The sequence below is a fragment of the Homo sapiens genome, chromosome 6, assembly GCF_000001405.40.
Source record: "Homo sapiens chromosome 6, GRCh38.p14 Primary Assembly".
Classification (NCBI taxonomy): Eukaryota; Metazoa; Chordata; class Mammalia; order Primates; family Hominidae; genus Homo; species Homo sapiens.
The window spans coordinates 117942150-117958905 of record NC_000006.12 but is presented as its reverse complement, the minus strand read 5'-3'; the positions used below and the strand labels follow the sequence as shown (position 1 = coordinate 117958905).

General features: G+C 37.5%; 1 protein-coding gene across 2 annotated transcripts in view, besides 1 other annotated feature; it reads right to left on the bottom strand.

Annotated features, from left to right (window-relative positions):
• The window catches only part of SLC35F1 (solute carrier family 35 member F1), a 410408-nt gene that overhangs the window by 358766 nt on the left and 34886 nt on the right, over positions 1-16756 (bottom strand). The gene's annotated exons all lie outside the window — the stretch shown is intronic.
• Positions 2401-3600: an enhancer, noted in NCBI's record as "CDK7 strongly-dependent group 2 enhancer chr6:118276469-118277668 (GRCh37/hg19 assembly coordinates)". NCBI's record gives its function as "activates an origin of replication core promoter dependent on BRD2, BRD4, P300/CBP, MED14 and CDK7 cofactors, with strong dependence on CDK7, by STARR-seq in HCT116 cells {active_cell/tissue: HCT116}" and the evidence as "EXISTENCE:reporter gene assay evidence [ECO:0000049][PMID:35650434]".

The following is a 16756-nucleotide window of genomic DNA, read 5'->3' as shown; positions in this document are numbered from 1 at the left end:
AATGAGTATTTTACTATAGTCTTTCACTGAAACACTCTGTGGCTAACTAAGAATTGTCAACGAAGTGAGATGTAAAACTGTTACTCTTTAAACATATAAAGAAGTATATAGTCATGTGTAGCTTAACAATGAGGAAACACTCTGGGAAATGTATCACTGGGCAATTTCCTCTTTGTGCAAACATCATAGAATGTACTTACATAAACCGAGATGGCATAGCTTACTGCACACCTAGGCTCTGTGGCATGGCCTACTGCTCCTAGGCTACAAACCTGTACAGCATGTTACTTTACTGAATACTGTAGGCAATCGTAACACAATGGTAAGTATTTGTGTATCTAAACATATCTAAATATAGAAAAGGTACAGAAAAAATATGGTATAAAAGACAAAAAATGGTACATTTGTACAGGGAACCTACCATGAATGGAACTTGGAGGACTGAAGTTTCTCTGGGTGAGTCAGTGAGTGAGTGGTTGGTGAATGTGAAGGTCTAGGATATCATTATGCACCGCTGTAGACCATAAGCGTGATTCATTTAGGCTATACTACATTTATTTTTAAAATTTTCCTTTTTTCAATAACAAATGGACATTAGCTTATTATATCTTTTTTACTTTTAATTTTTTTAACTTTTTGACTCTTTTGTGATAACAGTTTAAAACACAAATACATTGTACAGCTATGCAAAAATATTTGTATTTATATCTTTATTCTATACACTTTTTCCTATTTTTAAAATTTTTTATTTTTACTTTTTACTTTTTAAACTTTTGTTAAAAACTAATACACAAATACACACATTAGTCTAGGTCTACACAGGGTCAGGATAATCAATATCACTGTCTTCCACTCCACATCTTGTCCCACTGGAAGGCTTTCACAGGCAATAACACTCATAGAGCTGTCATCTCCTATGATAACAATGCCTTCTTTCGGAACACCTCCTGAAGGACCTGCCTGAGGCCGTTTTACAGTTAACTTTTTTTTTAAAGTAGGAGTACCGTCTAAAATAACAATAAAAAGCATAGTATGGTAAATGCATAAGCCAGTAACTTGTTCACTTATTATCAAGTATTACGTAGTGTACATAATTGTATGTGCTATACTTTTATGCAACTGGCAACACAGCAGGTTTGTTTACACAAGCATCACCACAAACACATGAGTAGTATCTTGTGCTACAATATTACAATGGCTATATCATTAGGCGATAGAAATTTTTCAGCTCCATTATGATCTTATGGGACCACTGTATATGCAGTCTGTCACTGACCAAAATGTCATTATGTGGCACATGACTATATCTTAACAGCCAGTACCAAGGACTCACAACTTTATATAACCCTATGTAAATCTTCCATATTTCTCAATAAATAGTCCAAAGGAACAATGGACTGTATGACAAAACTGTTTTTCAGATATTTCTATCAAGATCGCATCTAAAATTCAAGCTTTTTGGATGCTTGGTAGAAACTATTCTGAAAATTCTTATACATATTCAGTACCATTACAATGTTTTACACTTTGATGCTCTTTTTTCTTTAATTCTTGTGGCTTTCTAAAGCACAGGGCTCCAGTGTTGTATAGTTTGAGGCTCACTAACCTCTGAAAACTGAAAATGACAAAGGTATTTCTAGAAGAGATGAAGAGTGACCAAAAAAAATTAGAATCAATAAATATTAAAATATTCACGTGGGTGATTGGGGTCATTCTTTCTTTTGATAAATATTTGTTTTACCCAGAAATATGTCTGAGGAAGATGGAAGAAAAAATGATGACACGCTGGATGCACAGGCAGAGTCACAAATCACTCAGGATACCCGAGTCAGGAGGAGAGATGCCCACCAAGCACATGGCTAAAGAAAAAGCACCCTCCCAGGGCCAGGAAGGAAGTCATCACCGCAGGCTTAGAATATTGCTCCATGGACCAAAGTGGAAGAAATAGATGTCCTTATTCATCTTCTCTCCTTTTTCAGCTTTCATTTTGATGGTAAGAGTTATGACAAATGCCTGACTTTGAAGTTAGATAGCTGCTTGAAGAAAATACAGAAAATATGTGCACTGAGAAGGATAGGGTTTCCCTGCCCTCCTGGATATTTGCCTAAATATTAACTGTCCACAGTCTCTGCTGAAATCCTAACCTACCAACAGGGGCCTTACTGACATTTGGCGAGTCCTGAAATTTTCCAATAAGAGATTAAAAGCTTCCCTTGTAGGCACTTTAAAATGGCCTCTGCAATGTCTCCTATTAGTCAGTGGCTGAATCAGATGGCAGAGTTGGGCAGTGGCCCGTTAATAAGGCCTGGATGCACTTACACAAAGGAACAGTCATGCTTTCAACCTCGAGTTTTATCAATGAACTGACTAGATTCCAGGCACTGTCCCCGCGTTGCCTAGTAAAGCAGCACTCATTGAAGGTTTAATCACAGTTTCACATCCACAATGCAAGGGGCAGAATCCTCCCTGCAAAAGGCAGTTCAACAGCACATCAAAAGACAGCACCATTGCTCTGCATTGCCCCTTATATGTTCTCTCCAGCTGGGCAAGGCAAAGAATCAGGGCTTGCTCACCTTCTGGGAAAGCCTGATGTCCACTGTCCAGAAGGCTGTGAATGCTGGAGACAAAGAGCTTGAGGTGCTCCATTCTGTGCGGTAGGAAGATACCCTGCCCCACTCCTAAGCCAACACCTGTTTGTGAACTGAAAGACAGGTATTTGTGCACTACCCTGGGGCATCCAATACAACTGCAGAAAAGACATGTAATAGTAGGCCTGGAAGCAGGGACTACATTCAGCTCTGGTTGGAGGTTCTTAATCTTCCTATAAAGCAACTCATACTCTCCCAAGTGACAAAACATTGCCATCCCCATGAGCCAGAGCACAGCTAGCTGGTTTAAGCCAGCACGATATTGATCCCTCATGCTGTTTCTCTTAATGACTATTGTGGCATTGGAAGATGAACTTCCAGTTATAAAATGCCTGTACATTTGCTTTTCAGTGCTTAGTTCTATGTTTTCACTTCTGCTTTTTATTACATTAGACTACCCTCAGGCAGTACTTGTGCTTGCACTTGAGTTCAGGTACAAAACTTTAAATTGAGCAAGGTAACAAGGGTAGTAACTGAGTCAGCACAGGCATGCATGAGAAAAAGTGGCTAACACCAGACTGAAGCAAGATCACACTGGGCTTGAATCCTAACACAATCCCCATTTTTCTCTCACCCTTTCCAGTTCCTGATTATTCTAACTTATTTTCTTCACCTTGGGTCTCTGGTGAAGTGGTGAGATGGAGAAAGTTCTTGGAACAGCATTGGAAATCTTGTCTATAATTGTTGACCATGGAGCATCAAGTGTCCTTTCAAGACCCAAAGAAGCAATGAAGAACTTGAAGCCAGACACAATACAATCCTGCACTCCAGCAAGTTTCTTCTAGCTTATGCAAAGCACTGTGTCAGCCTCTCTGAGTGTGGTATCCACAGGCTAGACAGTCTTGATTCCAAACAGGAATCCATTTCTCAAGACCACTTGTCAGACCACGCATTGAACAATAGGTTCCAAGTTTAGCTTTGGAAACAGAATCTCCATAATTTGTGGAGTAAATAAGTATTAAAAATGCAGTTTAAGTATTCATTTTTGCTTGTAATTCCTAAAAGGTACTTCTTCTGGCAATAGCAATTTAAAAATCTCTTAGAAAATCAAGAGTTATGAGTCCTGAAATATAAAATAGCCAAATTAATCCATAATAGATGAAGTTGCATAAATGTCATGTAAAAATGTTAGTCAACTTAATGCTAAAAAATGTATTAACTATAAAAAAGAACTTACCCATGGTACATTTTTAAATGAAGTATTAGCTCCCAGGTACTTGGAATAGTCTAGGAATACATGGTGAAGTTTAATTTAATATTAAGGCTAATTGGAGTTCAAAATAAATTATAGATGAGGTAATATTTAATATTTTCAAAGAATTACAAGAGAATATGCTTAACATTCCAAATTTTATACTGAGCATATAACAGTCAATGAGTAAGAAAATCTTGGGGTCACCACTGTATTTCTTGCAGATTTAGCCATTTACATAGACAAGAAAACTGGGAACCAAAGGACACAGCCTGTGATTAGGCACCATCAGACCATCTGAACGCAAAGTCTGGATCATGAGCCTTCATACAGAAGTTTTGGGTCCACAGATTCCTGCATATTCAAATGTTAGGATGCAGTAGAACAAATATCCAGCGGAGAGAATAATTTCCACCTGCCAGCCCTACTTCTTAACTTATGATATTTTAATTCTGTAGGTCTAGATTAAGTAGCATTATCTCAGTGACTCTTTAAAAAGAAAAAAACAGCCAAGCGCAGTGGCTCACGCCTGTAATCTCAGCACTTTGGGAGATGGAGACAGGTGGCTCACCTGATGTCAGGAGTTCAAGACTGGCTTAACCAAAATGGTAAAACCCCATCTCTGTTAAAAGTACAAAAAAATTTAGCCAGGCATGGTGGCGGGTGCCTGTAATCCCAGCTACTCGGGAGGCTGAGGCAGGAGAATCCCTTGAAGCCAGGAGGTGGACGTTGCAGGGAGCCGAGATTGCACCATTGCACTCCGGCCTGGGCAACAAGAGCGAAACTCCGTCTCAAAAAAAAAGAAAAAGAAAAAAAACAAACTCTTGTCTTCTTGGTCACCATATTCACCATGTTCATTACACTGATGGTTGTTCAACTGGCTCTCTCACTGCACTGCTTTCATAATCCATGATCAAGATGAAGCCACTGTAACCTGTTAAGATTGCTATAAAGCATCAGTTTGCTTTAACAAAAATATGACTGCTTTCCTTTTCTGGAGTTGCTGAGGTTTTCTTCATAATTGCTTATACAACCTAAGACTATACTTTGAAATCTATAAGGCTGAAGATTCTCTTCATCCACGGGACCCTGGGAGATAGCAAAAATTACAAGGAGATTGACCACATGCCCTGGGTGGTAACTTGTTGTTTCAGGATCCCATTCATGTTCCCTTTCTATCACTCTCAAAATGATCCCAGTTTTAACAATAAATTATCTGCTTTGTGCCCCATTATGACAATGGCAGGTTACCCACCTACTTAGACACCTTCATATAGGGCCTACTTGTAGATGTGAATCTCCCCATACTCCCAGATTGTAGGGGTCCAGAACCACTTGGGGACTCTGGAACATTCACTTATAAGACAAATACAAATGTAACTACAAATGTCTGCTTCTTTGGCCTACTGTTCTGGTCCCTGGCTGACCCACAGATGGGAAACAACAACTTTTACACTGGGTGAGGTTTTGTTCATGCTTCTGGACAGGTAAGTGGACTATAAAAATGATTTTTTCAGGGATTGGTAAGTGGATTTGTAAATAGGAGTTTCAAGATTTTCCATATTACTGTCTACCACTAGATATATGTGTCTCTCAGAAAGAACTATGGAAGAGTTATACAAACATGTCTCTTATGTATATGACATGTATATAAATAAATACATGTCGATATATATGTGTACAAAGCCATATTTAGAAAAAAATTCAATAAAAAATAAAGCAAATAATAAGGTTGTCATGTGACAACTGTGTAAGAAAATGTCAACATATAACCACAAGAAAGTAAAGGTATTTTGCCTTTGAATTTTAGAATGGAAGAGATTTTAGCTCTCACCTATTACATTCTCTGCCAAATGTAGCCCAAAATGATGAGAGAAAAGGATACCAATGAGGGATATAAAATAACATTTATGCAAACAGTTAAAAGGCAGAATAAAAATAAACAATAACAACTACTCTCTACCATCAGTGTCAAGAAAAAGAAATACCCTCAATGAGTATCTTTACAGACTGTCCAGTGGAGCCCATGAACATGGACCAGTGCCCACTTCCTGCTCACTTCTCTCGCTTCTCTCTGCTTCAACCAGAGCAGTTACAACTGTATCTGGTTTATAGGTGAAGGTTCTCAGTAATATTTTGTTTGAAATAATTTTTTGTTGAAAACCAGAAACTAGATGACTTCACTGAGCCCAATAACCAATCTTCAAAAGTTTTTCCCCAAATTAGGTTCTTCTTTAGTTCTGGTAGGCTAAAAATTATAAACACAGGGCCATTATTGATGGGCAAAATAGGATTTTCTCTGTTTCTAAGGATGATTAGACTGAAGACCAAATCAATCCTCTCTTGGTAAAGTTTTTGATTTGTCTTTTGGGGTGTTTCTTTCTCTCCTTTGTAATTAAGAAGAATCTGTCTCCAGTCTCGAGTTTGATGTACACCACGGGGAAAAGAAATATTGACAGTTGCTACAGAGGGTTCTTCTTGCTACTGCTTCAAAGGCAGCCAAATGGATTTACAGACACCAGCCAAGGCAAGAGGAACAAGAAGGGATTAATCAAGCCAAGTTAATGTCAGGTGATTTAAGAAAAAGAAAAATCCTCTTAAATATTTTATTTTAACAGAATTATACTTCACCAGCATTTTCTGAAAGAAGCAAATCCATCCTTTAGCATTCAGGCTATGGAAAAGGGGACAACAGATATGCAAAATGTAGAGTAAAGAGGAGCAGCCCCATGGTACAGGTCTCCAGAGGAAAAATTGATTGAACATTCTAATTAAAAACAAACTTAAAACATTAACCTTCTTGAAAACATCCAAGGCCCCACCTGAGAGTTCTCAGACTTACACTGTCTCCTCCCCAGCCCTACACATGCACACACACACACACTCATACAGACACACACAAGTGTGAGCAAAGGACTCAATCCATCGGAATGCAGATCACACCATGGAAGCTATTGTTCTGTCAAAAAAACAAAACAAAACAAAATGAGAGAGATACATTCATTAATGCTGCAGCAGATGGCTGCTCTGCAGAAGGACACAGCATGAGGCAGGCTGCCGGCTGGCAGCCACAACTCAGGCAGCATTCACTCCAGCTGTAAGTTCAGGTTCCTTTCAGAAGCTCTGCATTCCACTGGCACTTTGCAGGAAATCCCTTGGGCTTAATGGATAGCTTTAGGCGCAGTCCATTGGCAATCAGGACTGAATCCCTTGTCATTTCCCTAGGTCTTCTCTCCCACCCACTCTACTTGCACCATTGACATTGTTTGGCAAAGGTTAGGCTCCAGTCAAAAGAGCATTAGTGTGGGGTCCTTGAACACTAGCCTGGGTTTGCACAGGGCTCTTTCCCCAGTCTCTTATCCTTAGCATATTCCTTGTCCTGCACAGCACAAAGAAGCAAACTGGTTAACACTTCTTTCAAGGAAGCCAGAAATTTAAAAGAAAGAAAAATTAGATCATGCCTTCAACTTGCAGAAATGTTTTCTTTTACTTTTACTTCTGTTATTATTGTGTTTTCTTGGAGTATATTAACATCTCATATTGTATCTTATACATACTCCTAATTTTCCCCACATCACTCAATTCTACTAAACAACTAAATCTCATTTTGTTTCTTTTTCTTGGCAAGACAAAATCACACTGCTGAATTTCTATTAAGTCAGATTTGTTCTTTCCATCTCCAAGACAGTTTTATGTTTAGACCATTATCAAGACACATAACTAAGTTTTTCGACCTCAAACAGCAGAAAACTCTTTACTCCTTCTAGTATGATTTTGGTTTTTTTGTTGTTTTTCTTCCTGTAAAAGCACAGATTAAGCCCTTCCTTTTTTGAATTTCATCCACAAATCTTTAGACTTTTCCAGCCTTTCTCCAAAGCTCCCTCAGTACATTCTGGAAGGATTCTGGGCTCTGTGCAAACCCTACAATACATCTTTTTCATAGATTGCATTCATGCTATCAAGATAAATTATATGAAAACTTATGAAGAGAAATGTTCCCATTCGAGCCTAAGAATAGAACATCTAGACATAAGTGAATAGTAAAGTAATTCATTCAGTTGTACATGTCTGTGATTTTATTTTAGTTTAGACATATTTAAGAATGTATTATTTGACTATATGTTAAATAATATGAAAAAAATTTATTTCCATTTCTTAGAAATGACTTAGACTATTTTAAAGGCCCTTATTTATCAACATTGATGTCTCAACACCTGCTTTCTTCTGTGCCTTAACTGTAATTTAAGGAATTATAATTCCAACACTGCACATTTTCAAATTAAATGTTTTAATCATGTTTACTGTTAATGTTCAATACTCATTTAAATTGTAAACGTTATTTCAGATGGTTTCTCTATATCTATCATCTTAATTTTATAATGGAAATCATCTATTTTACTTTAATCTGTGGCTATGTGTGCCAAGAATGTTTGAAGTAAGTCAATAGCCAGAGCCATTGTCATTCACATCCATCTTTTGAGTCACTCTACTGAAGAGTGATGCCCCTTGAAGGCACAGATTTATATATGCCAAGGATCTTCCATGGCAGCTGGTACAGAGTACTCAATAAATGATGCTCAATAAGTGCTTATCAAACAAAATCAGCAAAATCAAAATCACTAGTCCTTAATGTTAAGAACTGGGAGAGGCAGCAGAACACAGTAACAGAGAACTGTGTCTCTGGAGTCCAGCCAGTCATGGTTCAAGCCTCAGGATGATAGTAGTATGCATTCTGGGATATTATTTAACTTCCACAAGCATCCAAAATCTAGAAGTCAGTAGAGTCTACAATAAATGCCATTTCAGGCATGCCCTTGCTAGATGTATGGGCCCCCAATCATCTTATTGCCACTTAGAGTCAAACTCGTTGCTAGGAAAGAATGTGAAAGATCTTGAGGAATATATCTCTACCAGCTTATTAAAGAAAATGAATAATCCACGGCCAGAAACAACACCCCAAAGAACAAGATTGGGTATGGGGCAAGAAAATGGGTAGCATAGAATCAAGCCCCAAATGAAGGGCTGTGAACGGAGACTGCAACACAGAGTAAAAAGCTACATACACCAAAAGAGCTACTCAAAAGAGGTAAGACTTTGCCCAGAGTGGGTGGGGGACGATTCTAGACCTGCAGATGGAGAAACACTTCACTCTGCACAACACCTGAGAGGATACATTATCAAGTGCGTAGACCACCCCCCAACCCAGTTATCCCCGAGACAGAGAGTAAAGATGACCAAACGTAAATCCTCTGTGGCTCTTCAGGTGGTGCACCAACTTCCTGGTCCCATGCCACACACACTACCCTTTGCAAATCACTCAGTAGAAACCTACAGTGATAGGTTATGAACCAAAAACTTCACTGACACAGGTGAACAAGTAACATATTCAAACTGTGTCCAACCTGAAGGCGATAATTACATGATGAAAATGATCATAGTAAACAGTCAGTTCCAGGAATGGTGTTAAAGGATGGAGGCTTTTTTTCTGAGCCGTGGACTGCTGGAAAGGGTCACAAGGGCGTCTCACATAAATCACACCTTGGCAGAAGGTTTACCAACCTAACAAAGAGGCTTTAAATTCAAATTTTTGGAAAGAGGGGAAATAACTACTCGAAAAAAATAATAAAGTGCTTGTCAAATTGGATATGATGGAAGACAGCAGGTGTGCCAAGAGAGGAATAAACAATAACTTGTAATGGTTATCATTTGTATTATTATTCCTAATAATTTCAAGAAGAAAATACTGGAGAAGCATGTTAAGACTAATGAACTAACATTGTCAGCATCAGAAGCACAACGTATTACAGCTCTACTATCAACTCTGAACTGGCATTTCTTCTTACTAACTTCCAGGTTTTGGATGCTTGGTGAAGTTAAGGAACATCCCAGAGTATAAGACTTTGAAAAACCACTCAATCTTTCCATGCCTCAGGACACATATCTGCAAAAATTGGATAAATACTGTATCATCTCAGAGGGTTGTTTCAGAATTCAGTGGGTAAATACACAAAAAGCATTATGAATAGCACCCCGCTTGGGGCATAAAATGGCCTTCATGATCCAGCTCCTGTTAACCCTTCTGATTTTATCCACCAAATGTCTTTGAAACTCTGTCCTTCCTCTTTTGTACTAAGTTCCCCTTCCATGTACTGCTTCCCTGCTTGGAATATCTTTTGCTGTCTTAGTCCCCGAGAAACTCTGATCCTTCAAGATTAAGCTTGAGTATTATCTCTTGCGTGAAGTACTCTTCAACCCTTACCAGGAAGTTGCTTGTTCTCTCCCTTGAGTTTGCTTAACGAATCCCTTCTCAATAGTCATTTCCACTATAGCACACATCAGCCTATATTATAATTGCTCATTCACACATGAATGGGAACTCTTTCAGGGCAGGCAGTTATCAATTGTATTATTTGTATCATTTGTCTCTTCTTTACAGCAGCCAGAGCTCTTTATTTGATACTTGTATCCCCAATGTCAAATGCAAAACTTGATATGTGATAGATTCTGGACAATGTTTGCTACATAAATGAATAAGGGCTATGATGACAAGTCTAGACCCTCCACCAGAACCAGAATGCTCTTAAACTCAAGCACCAGAAGAAAAGTAGATAATTGGGAATCAAATCAGAGAGAAAATAACCAATCCTTCCCCAAATTATATGAACGTGAGTTAGAGAGCAAGGGACTTGACCTCAGAGTAAAGTAAAGGAGTAGGTACTCTTTACTCAGTATCAAGATATGGTAGCTTAAATAATTTTTCAGTACCAGTTCAAATCCAAAGAAATTAGAATTCATAGGTCTTAAGTACTGTAAAAAAAATGAAGTGGTATTGCTTTTTCACCCCAACCTCCATGCACTTAGTCTTGCTACTTAACACAGTTAAGATTTGTCTTGGTTAAAGCCCTGTCATTTATGAACATTTTCCTGGGTTTTCCCTAAACCATTGGCCACACTTTTTCAGATTCCTTGAATGTCATTTGTTTCATAATGAAAAGAAATTTGAAACATGAATTAAATCTAGTAATACACAAAATGTTTTTGTATTAGCTACAGATAGCTCCTTCTTAATCTCTTTGCTGGTTCCTCGTCTTGAGCTCTTAATATAGGAGTGACCAAGCACTCAGTCCTTGGTCCTCTTCTTCCTTCATCTATACTCAATTCCTTGGAGATTTCATCCAGTAACATGGCTTTAAATATCAACTATACAATGACTCTCAAAGTGTATGCTTGGCAATACCTCTCTCAGGCTCCAGACTCCTATACTCAATTGCCTACTCAACAACTTGACATGAATACATACTATACATTCCAAATACAACACTGAACTGCTGGTCCTCCCCCACACCTGCTCACTGCACCCTCCCTATCATAATTGATGACAAACCTTTAACACTTCTTGTCTCATACTTTACACCCAATCAGTACAGAAATCCTGATGGCTCTAACTTCAAAATATGCAGAATCCTACCACCTTTTATTATTGACACTGTTGCCATTCTCTTGCATCTAGATGTTACATTCTAAGTGATCTCTCTAATTCTGTTCTTGCCCACTTATGACTGTCTCTTCTTTACAGCAGCCAGAGAGCTGTTATAAATCAGATTACACTTCTTCTCTGCTAAAAAATCCCCCAAATGACTCATTGTGCTAGGAGTAAAACCCAAAGTCTTTACAATGGTTTGCGGGGCCCTTCTCCAATTACCAGTCCTCCTTTCATCTCTAGAATCTCATTTCTCACTGTCCTCCCAGTACTTTCCAGCCTTCCTGGGCTCCTGCTATTTTCTGGACATCCAAGACACCTCTGGGCTCAGGCATTTGCATTTCTGGTTCCTTCTGTCTGGGAAGCTCTTCCCCAGATATCTAACTAGCTTGTTCCCTCATGTCCTTCCAGTCTTTACTCAAAAGTCACCTTCTCAACAAGGACTTCCCTGACCATCTCATCTAAAATTTCATTACCCTTTCCATACTTTATATTACCCTTCCAATTCAAATTCTTCTCCTTAGCCATTACCATACCATATATTTTACATACATACCTTATTATTGTCTATCTTCCCCCAAATGGATGTAAGCTCCATGAAAACAGATTTTTGTCTACTTTGTTCACTGTTTTCTCAAAACCTAAAAATGTGCTTGGCACAGAGCAGGCACTCAGTAAACACCTGTTAAATGAATGCATGAACCAGTAAAATTAACAGCTTTCCATGTTGAAAATGGACTGCTTTTTGAAAATAAAAACAAATGACAGTGTTCCATAACTTCTAAAAACGTCTGCAATAGTTAAAATTCAGTATCAGGTGGGGTGGCCTAAATAATCTTAGTGTGCAAAAAGGTCAATGTTTTTCTACAGAAATTCATCCCTTCTTTGGTACTGTATCAAAGTTCACACTTCTTTGGTAATGTAAAAAAGCACAGAGTTTTCAATTAGCCACTAATGGCTTTCCTCTAGGTCAAACCACTTAAGAGTTTACATGTAGGTTGTCATCTCAAAGAGAGATATATTAGATGGTCTCTCAAACTTATGACAGCTTAAAATTGGAAAGTAATAGTGAACTGAAGAACACTGGACTAAATGTCATAGGATCTGAATTCTTACCCAAGCTCCAGCCCTTAGGACCTCTGTGAGCAGATGCATCAATCTCTCAAAACTTCAGCTGACTCTTATTTGAACTAAGAAGCACAAAATCAGCCATTATTTTTTATCTTAGAATTGTTGTGAGAATTATATTTGATTGGCAATTTGCAGATTGCTTTCATAATCAGTTTATTTATATGGATGTCATTGTTATTAAGATAATAATTTTTAAATCCATATTTTTGGGAGTAGGTGCAAACCCATTTAGACTACTCTTCTCCTACTCAAACCTCAACCTTTTCCAAAAAAAAAGTATCTGGAAACAGGTCAGGACTTGGAAGCTAGGTGTGAAGAGAAGGGAGGAAAATGAGTGCCACAGGGAAAACAATCCAGTTCATTTTCCTTTTATTCTTGCACTAAGGTCTGGTCAGGAAAATGGAGCACAAAGAAAGAGAGTTTCTGTTCTTCAGTTCTAAGACAACAACATAAACTGCAATTACTTTCAAAACTCTCTGCAGCTTACGGAAAATGCTCATGATTTTAACAACTCTCATATTCTCTTAGGACCCTGGTCTCTCTCTTTTGATGTTTTGGTCTTAAGATCTTCCGAGACCCATCTCTAAAAGTTCACTCTGGGGGACCATAATATTGAGCAACTTACACTTTTTCCAAAATTAAAAATGGTCCTACAAAGTGAAAGCAAAAGCTTGTTACTATGCAGAAGAAAAGGGTTTCCCTTCAATCCTGCTGTGAAGACACATGGCAACTCCAGGAAGCATGGCATCAGTGGGGAAAAGACAGCAGAGTCTCATTAAACCTGCAATACTGAAAGCATGTCTTTACTTGCAGGTCTAAAAACTAGAGAATCGGGAAAAGAATGCTGCTACTAACTTTTAAGCAGTGATCATTTTAAACTCTTGCAACTCTCTCTAAAATAGTCATCATGAGCACTTAACTTTTATTTTTTCAGAAAAGCTATGAGGAGTATTATATACCCATAATATGAGTTACTCTTCCTAAATAACAATCTACTCATCTGTAAAATGGGATAGTGACTACTGCCCACCTTGCAGGATGGGGATTAAGCCATACAATGCATGTAGCAAGTACTGAATAAATAGTAGTAAATTTGTGACTATATGTGGAAAACAAATAACTTAAGGAAAAACATACCCTTTGCTGCAACAGATCTTTCCAAATAGTGCCAACTTCATCTCTAAGTGACTTAAGAAGAGTCAGTAGTGCAACTCAACTGAGACTGAGCAGCATTAGAGGAGGACTGGGCAATTGCCAGATGACCCACGGATGGGGACAGCACTGGCCCTCGGAGCCCCACAGCTTTTCCAAATGCCCTGCCAAGAGGGATCTTCCTCAGCCATTACCATACCATATATATTTATATATGTAACTTATTATCATCTGTCTTCCCCCAAATGGATGCAAGCTCCATGAATGCAGATTTTTGTCTACTTTGTTCACTGTTGTTTCCCCCAAACCCAAAAATGTGTTTGGCACAGAGCAGGCACTCAGTTAATACCTGTTAAACAAATGCCCTCTGCCCCCTAAGCCTGCTGTACCTTGTCAAAGACAGATCCAGACCATTTGGGAACACAGTAAAAGCACTCAGATTTAGACAACAAAACTGAAACTAAAAGAAGAATGGCTTCATACTGAAATAAGAATCACATCTCAAAAACTGCTTACAAATTACTCCTTAAAACTGGAATCCTGTAAAGTTTAGTTAAATTTCTCTTGTTTATATGCAGGCATTCTCTCTCTAGAACAGATGCATCCATAGGGATGGTAGTAAAGTAAGTTGAAACAAATCAACTAATACGTATCATGTGTTTGCATTTAGAATATATTCTGTGTGTGTGTGTGTGTGTGTGTGTGTGTGTATGTGTATGTGTGTGTTTTGGGAGAGGGGGATCTCAAAAAACAAACTTGAAAGCTTTTCTGAGAAAATAAAAACAAAAATAATAACTAGCATTTCAATACTCAGTATTTTTTCAATATATTTTGAACTTTTAAGCTATTCATAGCATTTTTCAATTGCAGCATGGCTCTGAATTTCTGAGCCTAACAACCAAATTTATACTATGTTTGGCAACAAAGTGGGATATTTTGACCTCACAAGGTTGATCTCTGAGATGATTCTTCCCTTCCCTACACACAGACAGTTTATCTTTTCTTTGCTAATGGTTTTTGAACTGCCAGTGATGTATACAGATAGCATATAGTAAGCAAACTGATAGCAAACAGACACAAGAACAGGACTAAGTTCAATTATAGAAATAATTCTCCATAATTGTTCAAGTTTTATATTTGAATAGCAACCACAAATATAGGACAACAAGAGTATCAAATATAATTACAGAAAATTATCATATCATGGCCACTTATTCTGCTTTTCAAAAATAAATGACAATGAAACCATCAATTTTTAGTGCTTTTTTTCACACTTGCAAAGCTAGACTTCACATTCCCCATGAAAAGATCAGATCTATGGATGGTGAAGAAACATTCTCATGGAAGTGTTGTTGCCAGAGTTCCTGCTGCCATGACTGATACTTACAAAGTTTGAACACTCTTTAATTCATATATGTGTTTATCAGAGCACATAAGAGTAGGCAAAAGAAAAACAACTAAAGCCAGATGTAATGATAAAAAGTGATGTAAAGCTTTAGGAATCTCTTCTAGCTCCAGCAAAATCAATGGTTTTAAACTGAGGTTCAAGAACATTTTCAGACCTACAAATATGGGAAACTTTTATTTGGTTTGGATCTGGCCAGTAGTCCTCATGTTCACTTCAACAATCACATGAAAAGACCTCCTTCATAAAATATTTCAAATAGAGCCAACTCTTTTAGCAAGGATTTAGTAAATTTCCATTGAAAGATAATTTTAATTATTTCTGACCTCCTACTGATGTATTCTTAAAGCCATAAGAACTTTACACAAAATTTCACAATGGTATCAATGTCCATCACTTCAACAAGAGGCATTAAAACAACTGTTCAATTTCTCCTGACATTAAATTTGTTAGTTTTTTTCAATTCAGTGAAAGTTGGAGCAGAAAATGTTAACAGCACATCTGATAACACGTATTTTGCTCATGCAAAGGAGATGATTGTGTCACCTGCCTAAATTCCGACTTATAAGCTAGGGCTTCATTGGAGACCTTAGCAGTTAATATACTAGAAAAATTATAATAACACTTAAATTGATTCAGGAAATGTGTTTTGGTTACCTCCACAGGTCTGGTCAATCAGCAGTAATGAACTACCAAACAATTCGGTTAGAGATACACATGTCACGTTCAAATGGAATTTGAAATAGAGCACTCCTCTGTATTTTAGAAATCCATTAACAGGATCGGCAAGACCCAATCCAAAATGGATCGATAACAAGATCGGTACATTTGACAGGAAAAAATTGTCTCAGAGGCACTTGACTATTGACTGTGTTAGAACTGAAAGAATTGAGATTGGCATGGTATATTGACAAAGGATAAACTGTGAACTAAGAGAAATTGATCATAATTGTCTCAGGGCTTGGGTAAGAAATAAATAAAAACTACAGGCTGTTAATTCATTTCTAAACAAATGCATTACTTGTAACAATAAGTAAGATAAAATAAAGTTCATAATAGCTAAAACGTCAAATGTGATTTTGCTAACAACAATGATAATTACAACACCAATTTTAGAAAACTAGATTTAGTAGAAATAACACAAAATTGGCAGTGGCTAACCACTGATAGAAGAATTAAATCTTCCTCGTAAAATTTCAGTCATGCCAATATTTGACCAAGAAGTCTGGACTTCATGAAACAGCAATTTCAATAACAGAAGCTATAATCGTTAACATTTTAATTCATGCCAGAAAGTTGAATAATATGTTAAATTATTGTTTTAAAAGCTATACAAAATGTAAGCCATCCAATGAAATTAATCCCATTAAACTAAGATGGACATAAAAAGTGAAATTTAGCTGTTCTGTATAGAATGGAGGTTAATTCTAGAAAAGACTAGACTAACCAGTGTTAATTAAGTTTTAAAAATTTAAATTTATGAACAGAAAGTCATGAACATTCTCAGGGTCAAAACATTCTATAACGAAGTGATGTTGATCTCTTGACTACATATTCAAAAAACTCTTCTCCCCCTTTCCTGGATATTTACAATATCTAAGCTCTCAGTGTCTATGTAATTCATATTCTGTAACAACAATAGAATTAGGTCAGAATCCCAGAACAAGAGCATGGGCCTTGGTGTCAGTGAGACTCGAATTCAAGCCCACTCTACCACCAGCTGCATCATCTTAAACAAGTGACTGAGG